General features: G+C 49.9%; 1 protein-coding gene across 2 annotated transcripts in view, besides 4 other annotated features; it reads left to right on the plus strand.

Moving 5' to 3' along the window:
• Positions 1-22041, plus strand: part of CRISPLD2 (cysteine rich secretory protein LCCL domain containing 2) — an 89524-nt gene that overhangs the window by 62876 nt on the left and 4607 nt on the right. For both annotated transcript variants that reach the window (XM_005256190.2, NM_031476.4), the window contains one exon: positions 6370-6503. In XM_005256190.2, the coding sequence (XP_005256247.1) occupies positions 6370-6503 (134 nt within the window). The remainder of the gene's footprint in view (positions 1-6369; positions 6504-22041) is intronic.
• Positions 1969-2592: an enhancer, noted in NCBI's record as "H3K27ac-H3K4me1 hESC enhancer chr16:84918435-84919058 (GRCh37/hg19 assembly coordinates)". NCBI's record gives its function as "activates a minimal SCP1, AML or CMV promoter by ChIP-STARR-seq in primed H9 embryonic stem cells {active_cell/tissue: H9 hESC(primed)}" and the evidence as "EXISTENCE:reporter gene assay evidence [ECO:0000049][PMID:30033119]".
• Positions 2593-3218: an enhancer, noted in NCBI's record as "H3K27ac-H3K4me1 hESC enhancer chr16:84919059-84919684 (GRCh37/hg19 assembly coordinates)". NCBI's record gives its function as "activates a minimal SCP1, AML or CMV promoter by ChIP-STARR-seq in naive and primed H9 embryonic stem cells {active_cell/tissue: H9 hESC(naive and primed)}" and the evidence as "EXISTENCE:reporter gene assay evidence [ECO:0000049][PMID:30033119]".
• Positions 3219-3842: an enhancer, noted in NCBI's record as "H3K27ac-H3K4me1 hESC enhancer chr16:84919685-84920308 (GRCh37/hg19 assembly coordinates)". NCBI's record gives its function as "activates a minimal SCP1, AML or CMV promoter by ChIP-STARR-seq in primed H9 embryonic stem cells {active_cell/tissue: H9 hESC(primed)}" and the evidence as "EXISTENCE:reporter gene assay evidence [ECO:0000049][PMID:30033119]".
• Positions 3843-4467: an enhancer, noted in NCBI's record as "H3K27ac-H3K4me1 hESC enhancer chr16:84920309-84920933 (GRCh37/hg19 assembly coordinates)". NCBI's record gives its function as "activates a minimal SCP1, AML or CMV promoter by ChIP-STARR-seq in primed H9 embryonic stem cells {active_cell/tissue: H9 hESC(primed)}" and the evidence as "EXISTENCE:reporter gene assay evidence [ECO:0000049][PMID:30033119]".

Raw genomic sequence — 22041 nt, forward strand, 5'->3', positions numbered from 1 at the left:
CAGGTGAACATGTGTCCGGCTTTCGACTCTGCTCTTTCCCTGGTGTATGCTGCCTTGCTTGATGTTACCTGCATTCATAGCTACACTGATATGAACAGGCGTGAGGGGAAAAAGCTATGTGCAGTCTTCATTAACAAGTTTCACTAGGATTTTGAGCTTTTGGGACCACTGTGCTCATGACAGGGCTTGACAGACAATCATTGTTTGTTGGAGGAATAAATAAATGAAGATACTGCAGTACTCAGTACTTAAGTAGCTCTTCAAAAAAAATAAAGAATGAAGGAGGGAAGAGGGAAGGAGGGAAGGAAGAAAGCCACCTCCGTGTGAGAGGTTCTTTTCTGGCCTCAGTTTCTAGGTCACTGTATTCTGGGAAATGATGATGGCTTTTGGAAAATGTCTATTTAGCTAAGAGATTGATTTTGGGAGAGTTGCCTCCAGACCTTCAAAGGGCCTGTTCCTGCCTGCGGCTCCCGCCTGTTCACCAGGACTGCATTTCCTGGCAGACCCCTCGCTGTGTGGTGAGCTGCAGACAGAAGCATCGGGGTGTGGCCCAGGGAGCTGAGCCACGGCGGTGACATTTGCCAGTTGTGGGAAGCCAGGCAACCTTTCCCCTCCTCTGAACCTCAGTCTTCTGTCCTCCCCATCCCACTTGGTGCTTGGATACGTTCTCACACTTGTGCACATATCAGAATCCACCCCCGCGCCTGCCTGAGGGCTGGAACAGATTTCTAGGCCTCACCCTCAGCATTCAGGATCAGTGGGGCTGGGTGGATCCAGAGAATCTGCATTCCAACAAGTTCCCAGGTGAACCTGCTGGTCTGGAACTGCATGTTGAGGACCACTGGGCTAGCGATGACAATCCCTTGGGAATTTTCTATTGTGGTGGTGACTATGACAATCATGGAGGTGGCATTTGTCTTGACTGACGCCTACTGAGCATGTGCTGTGTGCCATCCTGCGTTAAGCCTGGGGTCTTATTTAATTTTTTTTTTTTTTTTTTTGAGACGGAGTCTTACTCTGTCACCCAGGCTGAAGTGCAGTGGCGTGACCTCGGCTCACTGCAACCTCCGCCTCCTGAGTTCAAGCAATTCTCCTGTCCCAGCCTCCCGAGTAGCTGGGATTACAGGTGCCCGCCACCCACACCCAGCTAATCTTTGTATTTTTAGTAGAGACAGGGTTTCTCCATGTTGGCCAGGTTGGTCTCGAACTCCTGACCTCAAGTGATCTGCCTGCCTCTGCCTCCCAAAGTGCTGGGATTACAGGCGTGAGCCACCACACACAGCCCTTCTTTAATCTTCACAGTAACCCTCTTCTTCCTCACTGTCATCACCCTAGGTGGGACAGTGGACAGATTGCTGGCTCCGGGTGGCAGTCCCGCCTCTGATCTTTATCAGCTGAGTGATTTGGGGCAAGGTGTGAGCCCCCCTGCCCCTCAGTCACCTGAGTGTTCAAAGCGATTGATAATGACAACACCTACCCGGCAGAGTTACTGGGATCACTGTGTCAATGCACGTGAAATGCATAGAACAAAGACATGTAAAGATATGACCTGTGACCATCCCTGCTTTATATGGAGAAAGGCGGGGCTCTGGGGTTCACACAGGTCATCCCAAGTCACACAGCCAGCCGGCGCTGGATGCAGGATTGGTTACCAGCTTCATGGATGTCAATTGTTAGTAAATACTCAGGTATTCCTGTTGCAGTGGGCCCTGAGGAGAGGAATTGGATGCCTTGTCCCTTTTACTGAAGCCTGTGAGAGGAGAGGTGTGGAGGAAGGAAGAAAGGAGGAAAGGTGTTTGCGTGGGAGATGTGCATATTGATAACGGGGCGGTACCGGGCCTGTGGAGTGAGAAAGATCCGGCCATGGGTGTGAGCTTTTCGTACTGACGCCCTGCAGCTTGATGTTATCACAGAAAACTTTTGTGTCACTTTTGTGTCCAGAAATCCTCCAGGGACTGAGTCAAAGCACCGCCTCTGGGGCTGCCAACCAGAACCTCTTGGCAGCTCTCAACCAGGAGGGTGCCCCTCCCCCGCCAGGGCTTTTAGAGGTTGAGTTTGTGACACCGAAGGGATGGGTCCCTCCTGGCGTTCCACTGGGAAACAGCCTGGGCCTTGCTCCTGGTACTGCAGCAGTTGGCAGTGCGAGCAATGCTGAGAGAGACAGAAAGCCTGGAGGTCTTATTTCATCTTGTTGTTGTTGTTGGAAATGCAGATTCTCTGGCTCCAATCAACCATTGATCCTGAACGCTGACAGTGGGACCCAAAAATCTGCTCCAGCCCTCGGGTAGGGGCGGGGGTGGATTCTGAAACAAGCACAAGTGTGAGAACGTATCCAAGCACCAAGGCTTCCGCCTGCCGGAAAGAACAATGAGCTTAATTGTGTTCGCTTACCAAACTCGCCCCCGCTCACGGCGATTTTAGAGGAATTCTGAAATGGTCGCTTCATCTTAAAGTCTCCTCGCTTCTCTTTGAGATGGATGCAAAGTTATTGCTCCTTAGTCTTTAGCAGGGCACAAAGCTCTTTGAGAATTGAGAAGTTGTGGATCTTTCCTCCAAAGGGGGAAAATGCGTCCTGGTTCAGACAGGGAGGCCGGCCATCCCCGGTTTGCCTAGGGCTGAGGGGATTCCTGTGTCCTGTGCTGACATCAGCCCCTGCAGGTCCACGGCCTTCTGCCTGCAACTCCAGGGCCTCCCAGATACCCGGGACCCCGCTTTGGGCTAAGGAACCCCGCCCTCATCCGTTTAGTTTATTTATTGAAGAAGATGAAGACATGTTAGCACAGAGTTTTTAGAAAGTGGCCTTCAGTTACTCGGTAAATGAATCCTGGAAAGCAGGAAATCCACTTTTCAGGTCTTTGATATGAATGTGTGTTTTGGCTCCACTTTTCTCTTTTGTTTTTTATTTTTCTGAATAGGCTTATGATTGTTAATGTGGGAATGTTGGATCCCTTCTTTTTTTTTTTTTTTTTTTTTTGAGATGGGATCTGGAGCTCTGTCACACAGGCTGGAGTGCAGTGGTGCCATCACAGCCCACTGTGACCTCAACCTCCTGGGCTCAAGCGATCCTCCCACCTCAGCCACCCGTGTAGCTGGAACTACAGGCATGTGCCACAACATCTGACTAACGTTTTTAAATTTTTTGTAGAGACCAGATCTCGCTATGTTGCCCAGGCTCATCTTGATCCATGCCCAGCTAATTTTCTATTTTTAGTAGAGATGGGGTTTCACCATGTTGGTCAGGCTGATCTCAAACTCCTGTCCTCAGGTGATCTGCCCACCTCGGCCTCCCAAAGTCCTGGGATTACAGGTGTAAGCCACCGCGCCGGCCAAATTGGTATTTTCAAAGAGCCCGCCTCTCTTCATTCCCTCATGCCTGGAACCTGCTAGATTGTATTGCTTGTCCCATTTAAAGGGCAGCTCAGGGTGCATTTTCCAGACAAACTGTGCTTTTACAGTGGATCCTGAGACACAGGCTCTCTTTGGCTTTAGCAATGCTTCCGGGGCCCCCGGATGGGCCGAGGACAGTGGTAAGGACGGGACAAAGGAGCTATGAGACTGTGCCAGGGATGGTGGTGGGCTGGCCTCTCTCGAGGGGGCACTGATTACTTCTGCAATGGCTCCCTGAGCTTGGGTGTAGCTCCCCACTCCCCTCTCTGTTGTAGTAAAAAAAAAATTCACCATAAGCCAGGCAATGGCTCACACCTGTAATCCTGAGGTTTTGGGAGGCCAAGGTGGGAGGATCGTTTGAGGCCAGGAGTTTGAGACCAGCCTGAGCAACATGGTGAAACCCCATCTCTAAAGAAAATGGAAAAATTAGTCAGGCGTGGTGGCGCATGCCTGCGATCCCAGCTACTTGAGAAGCTGAGGTGGGAGGAGCCCGGAAGGTCAAAGCTCTGATGAGCCCAGATGGTATCACCGCACTTCAGCCTGGGTGACAAAGTGAGATCCTGTCCCCCGACAAAAAAATACATAACATTAAACTTACCCTCTTAACCATTGTTAAGTGCACAGCTTATTAGCATTAAGCATATTCACGTTGTAATGGGTTCGACCTCCAGAACTCTTTTGTCTTGCAAATCTGAAACCCTGTACCCACTGAACTGCAACTTCCCGCTTCCCCTCCGCCAGCCCCTGTACTTCCTGTCTCCAGGAATTTGACTTCTTTGGATGCCTCCTATAAATGAAATCATCCCAGCTTCATCTTCTCCACCATGTCTTGCTCTCTTCTTGAAGGAGGCACCAGCTTGGTGAACCAGTGGCTGGGACTTCATCTTCTCCCCGATGACCCCTGGGGCTCGGGTATTGTGCAGAGGGGAGCGTTTCAGAGGTGACATAGCCCAGCCCCGCCCTCCTGCTGAGTGACCCATTGGTGGGGGTTAAGCTTTTAAGCTCAGACCTGCTGGTGGTGGCCTCTGTCTCTACACTACACGTGCAGGGAGGACAGAATATGGGGAGTCTGCCCCGTTCACCCTCCCCACCCTTGAACCACAAAGTGCCTGGGGGCTCAGTCCACTGACAGCCACGGCCGTGACATCACTCGGTTGTGAATGGAGGCAAGACCGGAGTCCGTCTTCGTGCCCTGTAGACAACGGGTCCAGCTTTTCATCTTTCCTTAAATTAGCAAGCTGCTGCCGGGGACTGATCAGGCGAGTCCGTGAGCCTGGGTGAGCCTGTTGTCCAGACACTTATGGTGTCATTCTCCTGGGGATTCTATTTCCTATAAATTTGAAGTCAGGCCGGGCGCGGCGGCTCACGCCTGTAGTCCCAGCACTTTGGGAGGCCGAGGCGTGTGGATCACCTGAGGTCAGGAGTTCGACACCAGCCTGACCAATATGGAGAAACCGTGTCTCTACTAAAAATACAAAATTAGCCAGACGTGGTGGTGCGTGCCTGTAATCCCAGCTACTCAAGAGGCTGAGGCAGAAGAACCACTTGAACCCAGGAGACAGAGGTTGCGATAAGCTGAGATTGCGCCATTGCACTCCAGCCTGAGCAATAAGAGCGAAACTCCGTCTCAAAAAATAGATAGATAAATAAATAAATAAATTGAAGTCATCAGACTTAAGGGACTTAATAAATCAGATCGCTAGATCCACCCACAGTGGGGGACATTTTTGTGGACAGTGGTTAGAAGCTGTTAGGTTCCTATTACTGTTAGAATAAATCACCACAGACGTGGTGGCTTAAAGAAACCCAGGTTTATTATCTTTACAGTTCTGGAAGCCAGAAGTCCAATGTGGGTGTCACCAGGCTAAAATCAAGGTGGCAGCAGGGCTGCTTCCTTCTAGAGGCTTCAGAGGAGAATCCGTTTTCTTGCCTTTTCCGGCTTCTAGAGGCCACCTGCATTCATTGGCTCATGGCCTCTTCTTCCATCTTCAAAACCAACAATTGGGCCGAGTGCAGTGGCTCATGCCTGTCATCCCAGCACTTTGAGAGGCCAAGGCGGGAGGATTGCTTGAGCCCAGGAGTTCAGGACCAGCGTGAGCAACACAGCGAGACCTTGTCCCTACAAATAATTTTTAAAAATTAGCCAGGTGTTGTGGTACACAACTGTAGTCCCAGCTACTTGGGAGGCTGAGGTGGGAGGATCCCTTGAGCCTGGAAGGTTTTATCACCCAGAAACTGAACTCCTTGATGATGTCAGAAACCAGCACATCCTGCCTCTGCGAGGTACCCAGCTGCTCCCTTGGTACCTAGAATAGTCCAGACGCCACCCTGTGTCCAGTCTACATGGCATGAATGGCCCCTGCCCACACCTCCTGCCACGCTCTGCCTGACTCACTGTATTCCAGCCACCCTGGCTGTCTGTCTGTTTCTTGGATATGATGAGTTTATATCCACCCCAGGGCATTTGCACGAGCCTTTCCCTCTGCCTGGGATGCTCTGTGCAGAGACATTCCCACGGCTGTGACTGTTTCCTTTATGTCGTTCTGTCTTCCCTGAGCAGTTCCCCCTGATGAAACAATTCTGAAGTAGCCCCCGCCACCCAGGCATTTAACCTTGTGAACTGGTTTTGTTTTCTTCATAGCCGATGCTACCTCATTTGTGTATTTATTTATTTGCTCACTCGACTCTTTGAAGGCAAGGTCTTTATCTTGTTCCCTGCTGAATTCCCCCAGTTCCTAATTCCGTGCCTGGCATATAATAGGTGCTTAGAAAACACTTGTTGAACAAATGAATGAATGCATGATGTCCAGTCTCTCTGGAGAGACCCCCAAGGCATCAAGGTAGTGATGATTATTTCCTAAGGGTTGATGGGGTCCACATCCCACCAGCCAGGTTGCCCAGCAGTGAATGATGGAGCCCCAGCTGGCTTGACCCATGAGCTGGAATCCGCATCGCTGATCACAGCCCTTCCTGTGCTTCCAGACCTCAAGCATCTGCAAGACAGCCGTGCACGCGGGAGTCATCAGCAACGAGAGTGGGGGTGACGTGGACGTGATGCCCGTGGATAAAAAGAAGACCTACGTGGGCTCGCTCAGGAATGGAGTTCAGTCTGAAAGGTAGGGTGGTGTTCTCCAACCCTTGACACCCAATCCCGGCTGCTAATGGTCCCTCAGGGGGCCTGGGAAGAGGCCCAGAGTCATTACCCTTTAAAATAAAACTCGGGTAGACTTGCACGAATTCTTACCAGGACTCCCAGGTAAGAGACTTCTTTGCTTTTCTCTTTCTTTTGTTTTTGAAACTAGGGAATGCTTTTCCCTACTATCACATTTGGGATTAAGAAAAAAAAAAGAACTTTTTTTCCTATTACCAATGGACGTTTTTGTAGAAAATTTATAATCTGTAGGAACATCAGATAAGCCCGAAGATAAACAGTCATCCATAACTCATCAGCTGGGAGAATTTACTGTTAGATTTCTTGGCGTGCGTCCTTCCGGTTGTTTTTCTTTGTGTGTGTGTGTGTGTGTGTGTGTGTGTGTGTGTGTGCATTTTTTTCCCACAAAAAAATGGGATCAAATGATAGTTACATACTAGTCATATAAAGCTACATCGTAATATAGTTACATAGAGTTAAATAAGATTAGGGAGCCTGGAGTCCAACAGACCTGGGCCCTGTTTCTTACCAGCTTTGTGACCCCGAGTAAGCCACCTGATTTCCTTGAGCCTCAGTTTTCTCATCTGTGAAATAGGGATAATCATAAACCCTGCCCCACAGGGCTGTTGGGAGGTGAACGGAAATGGTGCCTACCTATTGCCAGTAAGAAGTGGCAGTGGCTGGGCGTGGTGGCTCACGCCTGTAATCCCAGCACTTTGGGAGGCCGAGGCAGGCAGATCATGAGGTCAGGAGATCGAGACCATCCTGGCTAACATGATGAAACCCCCGTCTCTACTAAAAATACAAAAAATTAGCCAGGCGTGGTGGCACACGCCTGTAGTCCCAGCTACCCGGGAGGCTGAGGCAGGAGAATGGCGTGAACCCGGGAGGCGGAGCTTGCAGTGAGCTGAGATCGCGCCACCGCACTCCAGCCTGGGCGACAGAGTGAGACTCCATCTCAAAAAAAAAAAGAAGTGGCAGTAAGAAGCACTCTGCAAATGAGGGTTATGTTGATTACTCCGTATTTCCACTCGAGACCATACCTTTATGGAAATCTATGACCATAAGTCATTGGTAGTGACTGTGAATGACTGTAGCGCGTTTCTCTTCGTAGCTGGTGTGAGTCCTTTCCATCCCAGGGAGCAGATCCTCCCCTAGTAAGTAGTCTTCTCCAGGAATGCTTGCACACACCGTGACTGTTTCCTTAAATCCCTAGAAGTGGGCCGGGTGTGATGACGCAAGCCTGTAATCCCAGCACTGTGGGAAGCAGTGGTGGGTGGATCACCTGAGGTCAGGTGAGGCAGGAGAATCACTTGAACCCGGGAGGTAGAGGCTGTAGTGAGCCGGGATTGTGTCACTGCACTCCAGCCTGGGCAACAAGAGCAAAACTCTGTCTCAAAAAAAAGAAAAAAAGACCAAACAAAGTCCCTAGAAGTGAAATTCCTAAGTGGGGCCTTTCCTGAGTGTCATTCAGAAAGGGCACTCAGCCTCCCAAGTAGCTGGGATTACAGGCATGCACCACCATGCCCGGCTAATTTTTGTATTTTTAGTAGAGATTGGATCTCGCCCTGTTGGCCAGGCTGGTCTCCAACTCCTGACCTCAGGTGATCTGCCTGGCTTGGCCTCCCAAAGTGCTGGGATCACAGGTGTGAGCCACCGCACTCGGCCGCCATGATTATCTCTTTAAAGATCTGCAAATACAGTCACATTCTGAGGTGCACTTGAGGGTTAGGACATTAACATATGGATTTTGAGGGACCACAGGCGAGCTCGTAACAGGGCAATGTTGAAGATTTCATATTTGAGGGACGTTCTTTAGAGAAGGAATAAAATCAAGGCTGTAACTTGCCCTGGGCCCCTGGACGCTCAGGCCTTCCTGCCTCCTGGGACACGGCCCCTGCTTCCACTGCCAGCCTCCTGGGCACTTTGTGCAGCGGGCTTGCCCTGTCTGTGAAGATGCCACAGCATCACTTGTACCCAGATCGTGCCCATTCTTCCCGGGACCCCTGCCCGGTGACTCTGCCATCGGCAGCCCTGAAGAGCCCAAGTAGACAGCTTCCACGTTTTCTCCTTCAGCACGTGCGGCCTTTGATTGGGAAAAGCTTAATGAAGGGAAATTCCACTGATTTAATGGGAGGGAAATGAAGCAGCTGATTAGGAGGAATTTCCTGGCCGGGCTGGAAAGAAATCCCAGGACATCAATTTATTGAGCTCTTTGTACCCTCTTTGAGAGAAAACAGTCTTCCTGAGCAGCGCAGCCAGCTGGGATTTGTTCCCTGTCGGGCTGATTCATGAGAACATCACAGCAGTGCCCTGTGGGCTGGGGACAGGGACCTCATTGTGGGGGCCCCATTGGTAGGCCCCTGGGGAGGGCAGGGATGGAGAGAAGGCCCCCGAAGCAGCTTTCCCACCCGCCCCACTATCACCCAGGGTGTGGGGGGCTGTCGGTCTTTCTCTCTTCCTGTGACACCCACCCAAATCGCCACTGTCGCTGTCTTTGTAGGTGTCTTCCAGGCATCCCTCCCAAGCACACATGTCACTGGTGCCTTCTGTACTCTAGAAAGATTTTAGTGATTTTCTGCAGCATTTCCAGAGTTAAGACTTTGCTTTTCTTGCTCCTCAGACTCTCTGCTCCTCCGTCCTGTGGACTGGCATCTGTGATAATGCTTGGGTTCAGCTTTTCTGTGCCTCAGTTTCCTCACCTATAAAGGGGGGAATAATATTACCTGCCCCCTGGGGTGGTGGCAGGGCAGGAGGTCTCCAGGTGGGGTCCCCAGGCCAACAGTGTCCAGATCAACCCAGAGCTTGTTGGAAAAGCACATCCTCCGGCCCCACCCAGCTCTGCTGAATCGGAATCTCTGGGAGGGGCCCAGCAGCCTGCGTCTGAGCAGGTCCTCGGGGGCATCGTGCTGCATGCTCGACTGTGACAGCTGCCGTTCTAAGAGTCACGCGAACCTGGCAAACCTGACACAAGTCAGTCAGCACACACGTCCCACCCTTGCTCCAGCCTGGCCTGGGGGAGAGTGCAGAGCCTGTTAGATGTGGAAATAACAGCTCAATAGTTTCTGTTTCTTAGGGTTTCTGGACACATAGAGGGATTTTCAGTGACCCAACCCTTGAGATTCTCAGCGCTGAGTTGTCCAGTACAGTAGCCACCAACGGTGGGTGCTCACTGAGACCTAAAATGGGCTTATCCTGAGCCCGTTTGGAGATGTGCATAAGTGTGAAAAACACACCGCATCTTCAAGATTTTATACCCTTGATTCTGATATTATTTTGCTACTAAGAGTCATTCAGCCAGGCGTGGTGGCTCACACCTGTAATCCCAGCACTTTGGGAGGTCGAGACGGGCAGATCACTTGAGGTCAGGAGTTCGAGACCAGCCTGACCAACATGGTGAAGCCCCGTCTCTACTAAAAATACAGAAATTAGCTGGGCATGGTGGTGCACGCCTGTAATGCCAGCTACTCGGGAGGCTGAGGCAGGAGAATCGCTTGAAACCAGGAGGCGGAGGTTGCACTGAGCCGAGATTCCACCACTGTACTCCAGCCTGGGTGACAGAGCGAGACTCCATCTCAAAAAAAAAAAAAAAAAAAAAAAGTCACTCATTCACTGAATATTCATCACGCACCTGTGCTGGGACCCAGGGCACAGATGATTGAGCCCTAGAACTCACAGCTCAGAAGGGGAGTGAGCACTGGAGCCCCCAACAGGGTGATGGCCGGGACAGTATGTGGCGCCCGCTGCACTGGGGACACTGCTCCCCCAGTCCCCAGCAGGGTCACCTTGGGCAGTCTCCCTGGGCCTTGGCAGCTCCTCTCTCTAATGGGTTGCCATGAGAATTATGTGAGAGGTGTGTGTCCAGCCCTCGGCTAGCGGCTCACAGTAAGCATGACATGAAACCCAGGGGCACCTGTTGCCACAACTTCAAAAGATGCCATGGTTCTTTTCTCATAGGGTCAGGTGGCTGGATCCTAAGAAATGGCCTACATGACTTATCTCTCAGGATGAGGGGTCAGGGATCTTCCAGGAATTCATTCTTTCATCCTTGCTTCCATCCTTCCAACGCTCACTCCATGCAGGCATCATACACTTAGGGAGCGCTGACGATGTCCCTGGCACCCAGGATCCCACAGGGAGCACAACAGCAGACCTCTGCCGTCATGGGATTTGCCATCTAGTGAGAGGACACAGTGCAGAAATGACAATGCCAGCAGCAGGGCCCAGGGGGTCACTGTTGTGGAGGGACAGTTCAGGGAGGCATCAAGAGGGCTAGTCTTACTGTCCAGAGGGGACTCCTTGGGGACATGGCTCCCAAGAGAACCCTGCAGAGACACCTGGGTGTGGCCATGCCCTGTCCTTTCCTTATTTAGGTGGGATCTCAGCCACCATCTCTGCACAAAGCAGAGGCTGGGAAATTTCCCAGGAGCTTATTCCCAATAGGGGCTGTGGAAACCCAGCCTGGAGTCAGAGGGTGGCTCTGTCCCTGACGGCTGGTAAGCCCTTGGCGAGGGGGCGGTCACAGGCAGTCCCAAGGGAGACGTAGATGTTGTATATACTGTGACCAGTTCACAGCAAACTGTACTTTAAATGTAGGGAATCCTTCAATCACACAAACCACCAAAACCCCCAAACAGGATTCTCAGCACACGGGGCCGAAGGTCAGTTCTGCTTCACAGTGGTTTTGGTTTAGCAATGATCCTCCTCTAGAAGAGGACTTCCTGGACGTTTTGAAAGGCAGCCATGCAGAAATGAGGCAACATAAGAGACTAGCACCTGCTCTCTCACCCCTGCCCACCTGGGTATCAAAGGAAAGAAAAGACATCAGGAAGAGCTTTCAATACTGGGACGAAGGTGTCTGAATATTCTTGGGGAAATGCCGGACATCTGGGTGAATGTCAGTTCAGAATTTTTCTTAGACCAGAACCATTTTTTAACACAGATTTTGCAAGAGATTGGGAAATATATAAACAATGACAGTGAGCATTCTTGGCCACTTGATTTTTTAAAATGTCACCTTTATACAAAGGTATATATGGGTGCACAGCCATCTGAATCGCAAATTCATTCACCTAACACTCATGGGCAGCCCCTGCGCTAGGGACTGGGGACACTGCCGGGAACAGAAGAGAGAAAAATCCCTGTCCTCATAGGGGTGTGGTCTGCTGTGGCAAGTGCAGCAGAGATATGATGTGAGCACACATGGGATTCTAAAGTTTCTAGAAGCCAAAGGAAGAAGTAATGGAAGGGAAATTTTAGGATGCATTTTACTTATCCCAATATATCCATATTATTTCAGTATGTAATCAATAGAAAATTATTATTAGAAATAAGAAATTTACATTCTTTTTTGGGTATAAGGTCTTGGAGATCTGGTGTGTGTTTCACCCTTAGGCACATCTCCATTTGGACGAGCCCATTTTGGGTCTCAGTGAGTACCCACGGCTGGTGGCTACTGTATTAGACAACTCAGCACCGAGAATCTCAAGGGTCAGGTGACTGAAGATCTCGCTATGGGTCTAGAAATCCTGAGAAACAGAAGATACTAAGCTATCATTTCCAGATCTAAGGAGCCCTGCACTCTCCCCCAAGCCAGGCTGCCCCGAGGCTGGGACATGAGGTTCTCTGTGCTCTGCAGAGGAGCTGCTGATAGCAGACAGGCAGGTTCCCCTCCTCCACTCGTATTCCAAACTTCCACCAGCTCTGCACACGTTAGCACATCTCATTCCCCAACAGCCCTGCAAAGTAGGAACCGTCATTATCCCTATTTTATCAGTAAAGGAAGGGAAGCACAGAGAGGTTAAACGACTTGCCCAAGGTCACCCAGCCTACCAGGGGCAGAGCTGGGACTCAAACCTAGGCCGCCTGTACCAGAATCCATGCTTTTAAGCAGCACTCATGACTTCCTCAGCCTGGACAGGCCACTGAACTTGGGGCACAGACCCTTCCCAAGAAGGGGCCAGGGAGACCCTTGAATGCCAAGATATACTTGTTCCTGTCTTTACGATACAAGAAATACATACTTATTATTTAAATAATACATCCAGAGAGCAAAAAGTAAGAGTCCCAACAGGTGCCCTGTTAACCTCAGTTAACTGCTGATTTATAACTTTTCTTGACCTGTTTTTCCCCCGTGCACATAAAACTCACATACAAATCAAAACGGAGATTGTATTATACGTGCTAGTCTGAAACTTTTCCCCCCTAAGAATAATGATATATTTCATCAAATGAGATGAAGAGGTTTGACAGTTCCCTAGAGTGTGGGCTTTGTGAGGATAGTTCACTCACCACTTGTGCATACCCAGCCTGCGTTGCCCACATTCTCACTTTGAAGGGAGGGCAAGGTTTAAACCTAGCAGGGGCGATGGCATTTGTAGCTCCCGGCTACTGAGCACCTGCTGGATGCTCGCCTCTGGCCCAGGTACCTCCCTGGAGAGGCTCATGGACTTTTTACAGTGTCCCTAAGGAGTGGGCACTTTGAGGAACCCAGTTTACAGATGGGGAAACTGAGGCTCAGAGAAAAGGGTTAACCAGCCCAAGGTCCTAAAGATGAGAGCTAAACCTGTACCTGTCTAACTTTGAAATTTTCCTGAGGGATCAATAGAGGGGTGAGACTCTGGGAGAACAAGATTGGAATCCTTTTTTTTTTTTTTTGGAGATGGAGTCTCCCTCTGTTGCCCAGGCTGGGATGCAGTGGCGCGATCTCCACTCACTGCAACCTCTGCCTCCTGGGTTCAGTGATTATCCTGCCTCAGCCTCCCAGGTAGCTGGGATTACAGGCACCCGCCACCACACCTGGCTAATTTTTTTCATATATATATATGTTTAGTAGAGATGGGATTTCACCATGTTGGCCAGGCTGGTCTCGAATTCGTGACCTCAAGTGATCCGCCCACCTCAGCCTCCCAAAGTGCTGGGAGTACAGGTGTGAGCCACCGTGCCCAGCCAGGATTGGAATCCTTTAAAAAAAAAGACTATATATAGAGAGAGACACACACACACAGACACATACACATATACAGACAGTCTTAGACACTTAAGATCGTTCAACTTATGACTTTTCAACTTTATAATGGTGTGAGAGCCATATGTATTCAGCAAAAACCATACTTCAAATTTTGCATTTTGATTGAAAATTCTTTATACTAACTTCCTTGTAAAATAGGCCTGTGTTAGGTGATTTTGCTCAGCTGTGGGCTAAGGTCAGTGTCCTGAGCACACGGAAGGTAGGCGAGGCTGAGCTGTGATGGAGGCGAGGTGTATTCAGTGCATTTCCGATGTGGACTTCTGACTTCCGATGGGTTTATCAGGACGCGACCCACCGTAAGTCAGGGAGCATCTGTGTCCACAGTCATGTATGTACACTCATACATATAGAGACAGTTATATACATATAAATGATATTTCTTAATAATTAAAAATAAATTACACTTTTTAAAAGCCAGAAGACTAAGCACTCAGGGGTTCCTCTTCTGCCGTCCTTTTAGTGCTGGCTTCAGGACTCCACAGGGCAGCTTCCCTGTCTGCCTCTGGAACCAGAACCGGCCGTCCACCCTCCTTAATCCCGTCTGTGTGTTGGGTGATGCCAAAAGGCAAGCTCTTCCTCCTCAGGTCACTTTCAAGGCAATTGAGGGGGATGCAGCCCCACGTGCCTGTCCCTGGCTGGCCTCTAGGAGGGAGCCCCGTGCTTCTGGGGAGCTCTTCAGAGAGTCCCTGGATTGTTCCTGCCCCTTTACTCTGGCCTTTAAAGGGCCTTTCTAGGCCGGGTGCGGCGGCTCATGCCTGTAATCCAGGTACATTGGGAGGCTGAGGTGGGAGGATCACATGAGGCCAGGAGTTCAAGACCAGCTTGACCAACAGGGTGTAATCCCATCTCTACTAAAAATACAAAAAAAAAAAAAAAAGCCGGGCATGGTGGCATGCACCTGTAGTCCCAGGTACTTGGGAGGCTGAGGTAGGAGAATTGATTGAACCCAGGAGGTGGAGGAGGCTACAGTGAGTGGAGATTGCACCACTGCACTCTAGCCTCGGTGACAGAGCAAGACCGTGTCTCAAAAAGACTAGAGAAACCTCAACAATATAGTGAAAATAATTTTAAGATCTTCATAGCACTCAACTTCCCATACCCAGAAACAACCTCTGTAAACATTCCAGTGTATTTTCTTTCAGGTTTCTTCTGTGTTTACATATAAACACGCCTTTTTTTGTTGTTTGTTTGTTTGTTTGAGACGGAGTTTCAGAGTTTCGCTGTTTTGCCCAGGCTGGAGTGCAGCGGCTTGACCTCGGCTCATTGCAACCTCTGCCCCGCAGGTTCAAGTGATTCTCATGCCTCAGCCTCCCAAGTAGCTGGGATTACAGGCACCCACTGCCAGGCCCGGCTAATTTTTGTATTTTTAGTAGAGACGGGGTTTCGCCATGTTGGCCAGGCTGGTCTCGAACCCCTGACCTCAGGTGATCCGCCTGCCTTGGCCTCCCAAAATGCTGGGATTACAGGCGTGAGCTACCACACCCGGCTTAAACACGCTTTTTAAAAAGGGATTATGCTATTAGTATTGTTTTGTTAATCGGATTGTGGCTAGCTCTTCAAGCCCTAGCCTGTCTAGCCACACCGTGGTTTCAGTGGCTGCACAGATTCGGAGGCATGGAGAGACCATCATCCGTTTATCATCACTGATTGACACTCAGATCGTTTCCTTTTTTCTTTCACTGTAATAAACAACACTAGAAAGAACATTTTTGCGCAAGCCTGTGCACTTTCTTGCCGATTTATTTAGGTGACTTCCTCTTACCAGAACAGCCACAGCCACCAAAGTGCTGTCCTAATGCAATGCACAGTGTCGCACCAAGGAAAAAAGTCAGCACATCCTTTCCTGTGTAAGGCTCCCCCGCCAGTGGCTTTCCATTGTACTAAGAATCAAATCCGCCCCACTCCCATTCAAGGCCGCAGCTGCTTCGGCCCCTGCCCGCTCCCCCACCCTCTCTGTGCATCTTCCTCCTACATTTCCACCTCACTGGCCTCTCTGCTCCTTGACTGCACCAAGATCATGCACACCTCAGTGCTTTTGTAGCTGCTGTCTGGTACCCTCTGGGCTCTCATACGTTCCTGGGCTGTTTTAGACTGAAATGGCCCCTCCCTAGGCAGCGTTCTCCACCATCCAGCCTGCACTTGTCTCCTGCTCCCTGATGGATCTGTGTCATTTCCCCTGACTCATCACCTTCTGAAACTGTTTCTTGCATATGTTTTGCTACTTCTCACCCCACCCCAGACTGTAAACTTCCTGAAGGCAAGAGCCTCACTGGTCTTGTTAACCCCACAGCCCTGATGCTGCCCAGCACTTGGCACATAGCAGGTGCTCAGTAAACACTGGTTGAATGAGACTTTGCTGAGTTGAGCAATTGGTTCAGAGTTGGTTGAGGGCTTTTATTTCTCACTTATAGTCCCAGTTGCACCACTGCACTCCAGCCTGGGCAACATAAGTGAGACCCTGCAGCCTCAACTGCAGTGAGCTGTGACTGCACCGTTGTACTCCTGGGCTCACTGCAGCCTCAACTGCAGTGAGTTGTGATTGCACCATTGCACTCCTGGACTCAAGCAATCCTCCCACCTCAGCCTCCCTAGTTGCTGGGACCACAGGCGTGCACCACCACATCTGGCTAATTTTTTTATTTTTGTAGAGACAGGGGTCACTGTGTCACCCAGGCTGATCTCAAACTCCTGGGTTCAAGCAATCGCCTACGTTAGCCTCCCAAAGTGCTGAGACTACAGGTGTGAGCCACTGTGCCCCGCCTGAGGGATTTTCAATACCCTGTATCAAAGTTGTTTAGTGCTCTTTATGAAAGTTGCTTGATACACTTGATAAAAAGTCCAATACCTTTTATGAAAATTACCCAGAAATACTGCAGCAATTTATACTCCTTCAGGCATGTATGGGAGTTACAAGCTAATCCAAAAAGAGAATCAGAGGGCAAGATTTGGGAAAGAAGGGCGGGAAGGGTATTTTATAATTATCAAGCCACACTCGTTATTCATCAGACACGTACAACTACCAACTTCCCCAGCATACCTGGAGCTTAATAACTGCTTGAGGCATGAACAACTGGGGACACTGAAGGTGGGGAATTTTTCTTGGTGCCCAAACCTGCGGGAATTTTTACCTGTGGCGGTGGATGGCACCAACAGTTGATGCTGCCAGTTGCACGGTGGCATCCTGGGCGGTGTCAGCACATTCTTTGATGTGTTAGGAAATACTTGCCCAGCTTGTCGGGGCCTGCTCTTACCTCCAAGGTGAGCAGGTTGTTTAATGGGGTGCATGGTTGTCCAGGCAAGATACCCAGGGCCCTTGGGCTGGCCATGTCTACATCTGGACGGCAGCCTGAATGGTTCCCTTGTCCCTTGGTTGTTTGGGGCCCTGAGAACATGAGAACCCACTGCACCGTCCATAGAATCTGCAGACCCATAGTAAGTCAGGAGGGACACAGACCCCTGGTAATTTTCCCCAACGTGGCTTGCCCCCCATGCAGAATAACCACAGTAACTTGTGGCCCTGGTTGGTTCTCCCAGGATATTCACTTGGACAGAGAATTCAGGGAAATCTTACATCCCCCAAGGCCTGAGGAGGGCCCTGGAATCTGAACTTTCCAGAAACCAGCAGGGCCGCCAGGGTCACCCCAGCCCCTGGCCACTCTTTCTCCTCCTCTTGGTCCGGAGCCACCTGCGGCCAAGCGTTCTGCCTGGGTCTTGGCTCTTGGCGTTTCTTTGCAGCTCCATCTCTCCGAGTGCTCCCATCTGATACACGTTTCAAAAGTTCAATTCCAGGGTAGCCAAAAGTGTGAAGCTGCCATGGAGAAGGGCTAAAAAACAACCAGGAATTCCAAGCGGCCTGCTCTCGGAGGATTGCAGATCTTAGCAGCCTGAGAGGGCCGGGGTCTCCTGGCTAGTCTGGCAGTTTCCAATCTGGGGGCTCTCTTTGTTTGGAGCGGAGATCCTAAAGGAAACCCCGCCCAGAAATGGTGACTAGGCTGTTAATCTTATACTCAAACTCCTTCATCATGAGCAAGATGCAAATGAAAATGATATCTGGATGCCACTCCCTACCTTCTATTGGTCAAGAACCAAAAGCAAGACATCACACAGCGCTGGGAGGCATCACACAGCGCTGGGAGGCATCGCACAGCCCCGTTGTCATTGTCCGGGGAGTCTGCAGGTGTTATCTTTATGCAGGGCAGGTTGGCAGCTGTCAAGATGCAAATGCACGTCCTTTGGTCCAGCAATTCCACTCCTAGGCGCTCACTCTCAGGCACCCTCACACAAAAGCAAAAAGTCCCATGGACAACAATGACATTGTTTGCAAAGGTAAAAAATTAGAAAACACGGGCTCAATGGCTCGCGCTTATAATCCGGGCACTTTGGGAGGCTGAGACGGAAGGATTGCTTGAGCCCAGGAGTTCGAGACCAGCATGGGCGGCATGGTGAAATCCCATCTCTAAAAAATACGAAAATTAACCAGGCATGGTGGTATGCACCCGTGGTCCCAGCTACTGGTGAGGCTGAGGTGGGAGTATGACTTGAGCCCAGGAGGTTGAGGCTGCAGTGAATCATGATGGTGTCACTGCACACACACACACACACACACACACACACACGCAAAAAAAAAAAGATTAGAAAGAACTAAATGTCCACCAATAGGGATCCAGTTAAATATAACACTTTATTACAATGGAATACTATGCAGTGGATAAAAAGAATGAGTTCTTTCTGTATAGTAAAGCAACAAATCCCGAGATATATTGTTAAGCTAAAAAAGCAAAGTGCAGAGTGGTATGTCTATGGCAGTATGTATATAATATTTGTGTTGAAAAAATGGGTGAGGGAAAAAATATAATAATTGTTAACATCCACATAAGATCTAAACATCTCTCCTCTGGGGAGAACTTGGTGCAGAAAGACAGGGTTGAGAGGGAGAGTGTTTTTTGCCTTAAGGATTGTGTGTTCAACAACTAAAATGTGCGGCTATGATTAGTCTTTTCCATTTTAATTTTGATGTGGAAAGAACACTCCTGGCTGCACTTTTTTTTTTTTTTTTTTTTTGACGCAGAGTCTCCCTGTGTCGCCCAGGCTGGAGTGCAATGGTGTGATCTCGGCTCATTGCAACCTCCACCTCCTGGATTCAAATTATTCTCCTGCCTCAGCCTCCCGAGTAGCTGGGATTACAGGCATCTGCCACCATACCCAGCTAATTTTTGTTTTTGTATTTTTGGTAGAGATGGGGTTTCACCATCTTGGCCAGGCTGGTCTTGAACTCCTGACCTCAAGTGATCCACCTGCCTCAACCTCTCAAAATGTTGGGATTATAGGCGTGAGCCACTGCACCTGGCACTGGTTGCACTTTTTTTTTTTTTTTTTTTTTTTTGATGCAGAGTCTCACTGTATCGCCCAGGGTGGAGTGCAGTGGTGTGATCTCGGCTCGTTGTAACCTCCACCTCCTGGGTTCAAATGATTCTCCTGCCTCAGCCTCCCAAGTAGCTGGGATTACAGGCACCTGCTACCACACCCAGCTAATTTTTGTTTTTGTATTTTTGGTAGCGATGGGGTTTCACCATGTTCCCATGCTGGTCTTGAACTCCTGATCTCAAGTGATCTGCCGGCCTCGACCTCTCAAAGTGCTGGGATGACAGGCGTGAGCCACCGCGCCTGGCCCTGGTTGCACACTGTGAACAACGCTTTGGGGTCTACAAGGCGCCATGCTGCCTTCTAGAACAAAATTCCAACAAATGCGAGTTTGCAAGATCTTATCGGCTTTTATTAGCAATTCATGTATCAGGCAATATCCCAAGTACAGAATAGAAAGGTGCTTCCACGAACTGAGCAGCGAGGGGAGGTTTTAGAGTCAGCAAAGGCTGCATGCAGAGAGTACAAACGATGAACAGGCCGGGCGCAGTGGCTCACGCCTGTAATTCCAGCACTTTGGGAGGCCGAGGAGGGTGGATCGCAAGGTCAGGACATCGAGACTATCCTGGCTAACAAGGTGAAACCCCGTCTCTACTAAAAATAGAAAAAAATTAGCCAGGCGTGGTGTTGGACACTTGTAGTCCCAGCTACTCGGGAGGCTGAGGCAGGAGAATGGCATGAACCCAGGAGGTGGAGGTTGCAGTGAGCAGAGATCACGCCACTGCACTACAGCCTGGGTGACAGAGCGAGACTCCATCTCAAAAAAAAAAGAAACAACAAAATTTGGATGGGTCGTCCCAGTTACTTTTCTTGTAGGATTAAAGCAGGAAGGCCACACTATCCTGCTGGCTCAGAGGGACTGGGGGCCCTTTTGATTGGTTGTTGCTGTGTATCTCCTATTTTTTGGAAAATCGGCCCATTGCTTTTTTTTTTTTTTTTTTTGAGACAGAGTCTCACTCTGTTGCCCAGGCTGGAGTGCAGTGGCGTGATCTCGCTCACCGCAACCTCCACCTCCTGGGTTCAAGCGATTCTCCTGCCTCAGCCTCCCAGGTAGCTGGGATTACTGGTGCCTGCCACCACAGCCAGCTAATTTTTGTATTTTTAGTAGGGGTTTCACTGTGTTGAGCAGGCTGGTCTCGAACTCCTGACTTCAAGTGATCTGCCCACCTCAGCCTCCCAAAGTGCTGGGATTACAGGAATGATCCACCGTGCCTGGCCTAAAACCAGCCCATTTCTAAGTTCAGTTTGATGAGGTGGCACCTAGCAGGGTGACTCCGATCTGATTTGGTTTGGTCTGTTGGGCCTAGCCCAGTCCAAAACAATGGCCTCCCGTCAATTTAATGCTCCCCTCCTCCCACCTTCCGGGTCTCCTCTCCAGCCTGGCCCCTTCCTGGACCTCCCCCAAGAACCCAGGTACCCCCAACATCGGCACTGTCACAGAACATTCCGGAAAGTATCCTTAGAAGCCTGTAATCCCAGCACTTTGGGAGGCCGAGGCAGGCGGATCATGAGCTCAGGCGTTTGAGACCAGCCCGGCCAAGAGACCAGCCTGGCCAATATGGTGACACCCCATCTCTACAAAAAATACAAAAATTAGCTGGGTGTGGTGGCGCATGCCTGTAATTCCAGCTAGTTGAGAGGCTGAGGCAGGAGAATCGCTTGAACCTGGGAGGCGGCGGTTGCAATGAGCCGAGATCACACCGTTGCACTCCAGCCTGGGCAACAGGGCGAGACTCTGTCTTAAAATTTAAAAAAAAAAAAAAAAGCCCAAAGAGACTTAGTGACTTTGTCACACAGTTACTAAACGTTAGTGTAGGGATGGAGACTCGCGTCTGGAAGACATGCTCCAGAGGTGAGATTTGCAGAATGCCAAAGCAGGATGCATGGGAAATCTTATTCCCAAAAGCAGTGTTCAAAAACAGCTGTTTCAGGACTCCAGAAATACACCACAGAGTCATACAACGAACAGGGAGGTGTTTGTTCAAAAAAGTGTGGACCTCAGATAAGAACAGAGGGATCTGTGGTGTCTGAGCCTGGGACCGCTCCTGTTCACCCCACCAGCTCCTGTGGCTGGAAGTTCTACTGGGGTGGGGCTGTGCCATCCAGCGGCTTTCTTGATTTGAAGCAGAGCGAGGAAAACCACACACCTCTGGCCATTGTCAGGAACAGTATCAAACCTGGTGGCCAAGACACAGGAAGGCCAGTTGGTCCAAAGGTGCAGTTATCATCTGGGGCAGAAAATCAGGGAGGATCTAGAGAATGAGACAGCCGTGGTGGCCCTTGGTAGGCTCCCAGGCGTCCCTGGTGTTCTAGAAGGCTGTGCCCACAGCAAGAGGAGCAAAGCGGGAGGGGGCACTTAGGCTTCCCAATTCTGAAACATCCTATACAGCGACAGTGATCAAGATGGTGGTGCTGACATCAGGACAGACACAGAGATTAAGAGAACGTGATTGGGCCTGGTACGGTGGCTTACGCCTGAAATCCCAGCACTTTGGGAGGCCAAGGAGGGGAGGATCACGAAGTCAGGAGTTCCAGAGCAGCCTGGCCAACATGGCAAAACCCCATCTCTGCTAAAAATACAAAAATTAGCCCCGCGTGGTGGTGTGCACCTGTAATCCCAGCTACTTGGGAGGCTGAGGCCAGAGAATCACTTGAACCTGGGAAGCAGAGGTTGCAGTGAGCCAAGATTGCACCACTGTACTCCAGCCTGGGCAACAGAGCGAGACTCGGTCTCAAAAAAAGGTAAAAAAAAAAATTTAAAAAAAAAATTAAAAAAAAAAATGATTGGAAGTCCATAAAATAAATCATCACACTTCCAGTCAATTGATTTTGACATCGGTGCCAGGACCATTCAGTGGGCAGAGAATAATTTCTCAACAAATGATGCAAGGGCAATTAGATATTTACAAGTAAAACTGTGATGTTGGACCTTTGCCTCACACTATATATAAAAATTAACTCAAAATGGATCCAAGGCTGAAATGTAAGAGCTAAAAATTACAGATGTCTGAGAAAACAAGTATAAATCCTTCATGACCTTGGATGGTTTGCT

The sequence above is a fragment of the Homo sapiens genome, chromosome 16, assembly GCF_000001405.40.
Source record: "Homo sapiens chromosome 16, GRCh38.p14 Primary Assembly".
Lineage (NCBI taxonomy): Eukaryota > Metazoa > Chordata > Mammalia > Primates > Hominidae > Homo > Homo sapiens.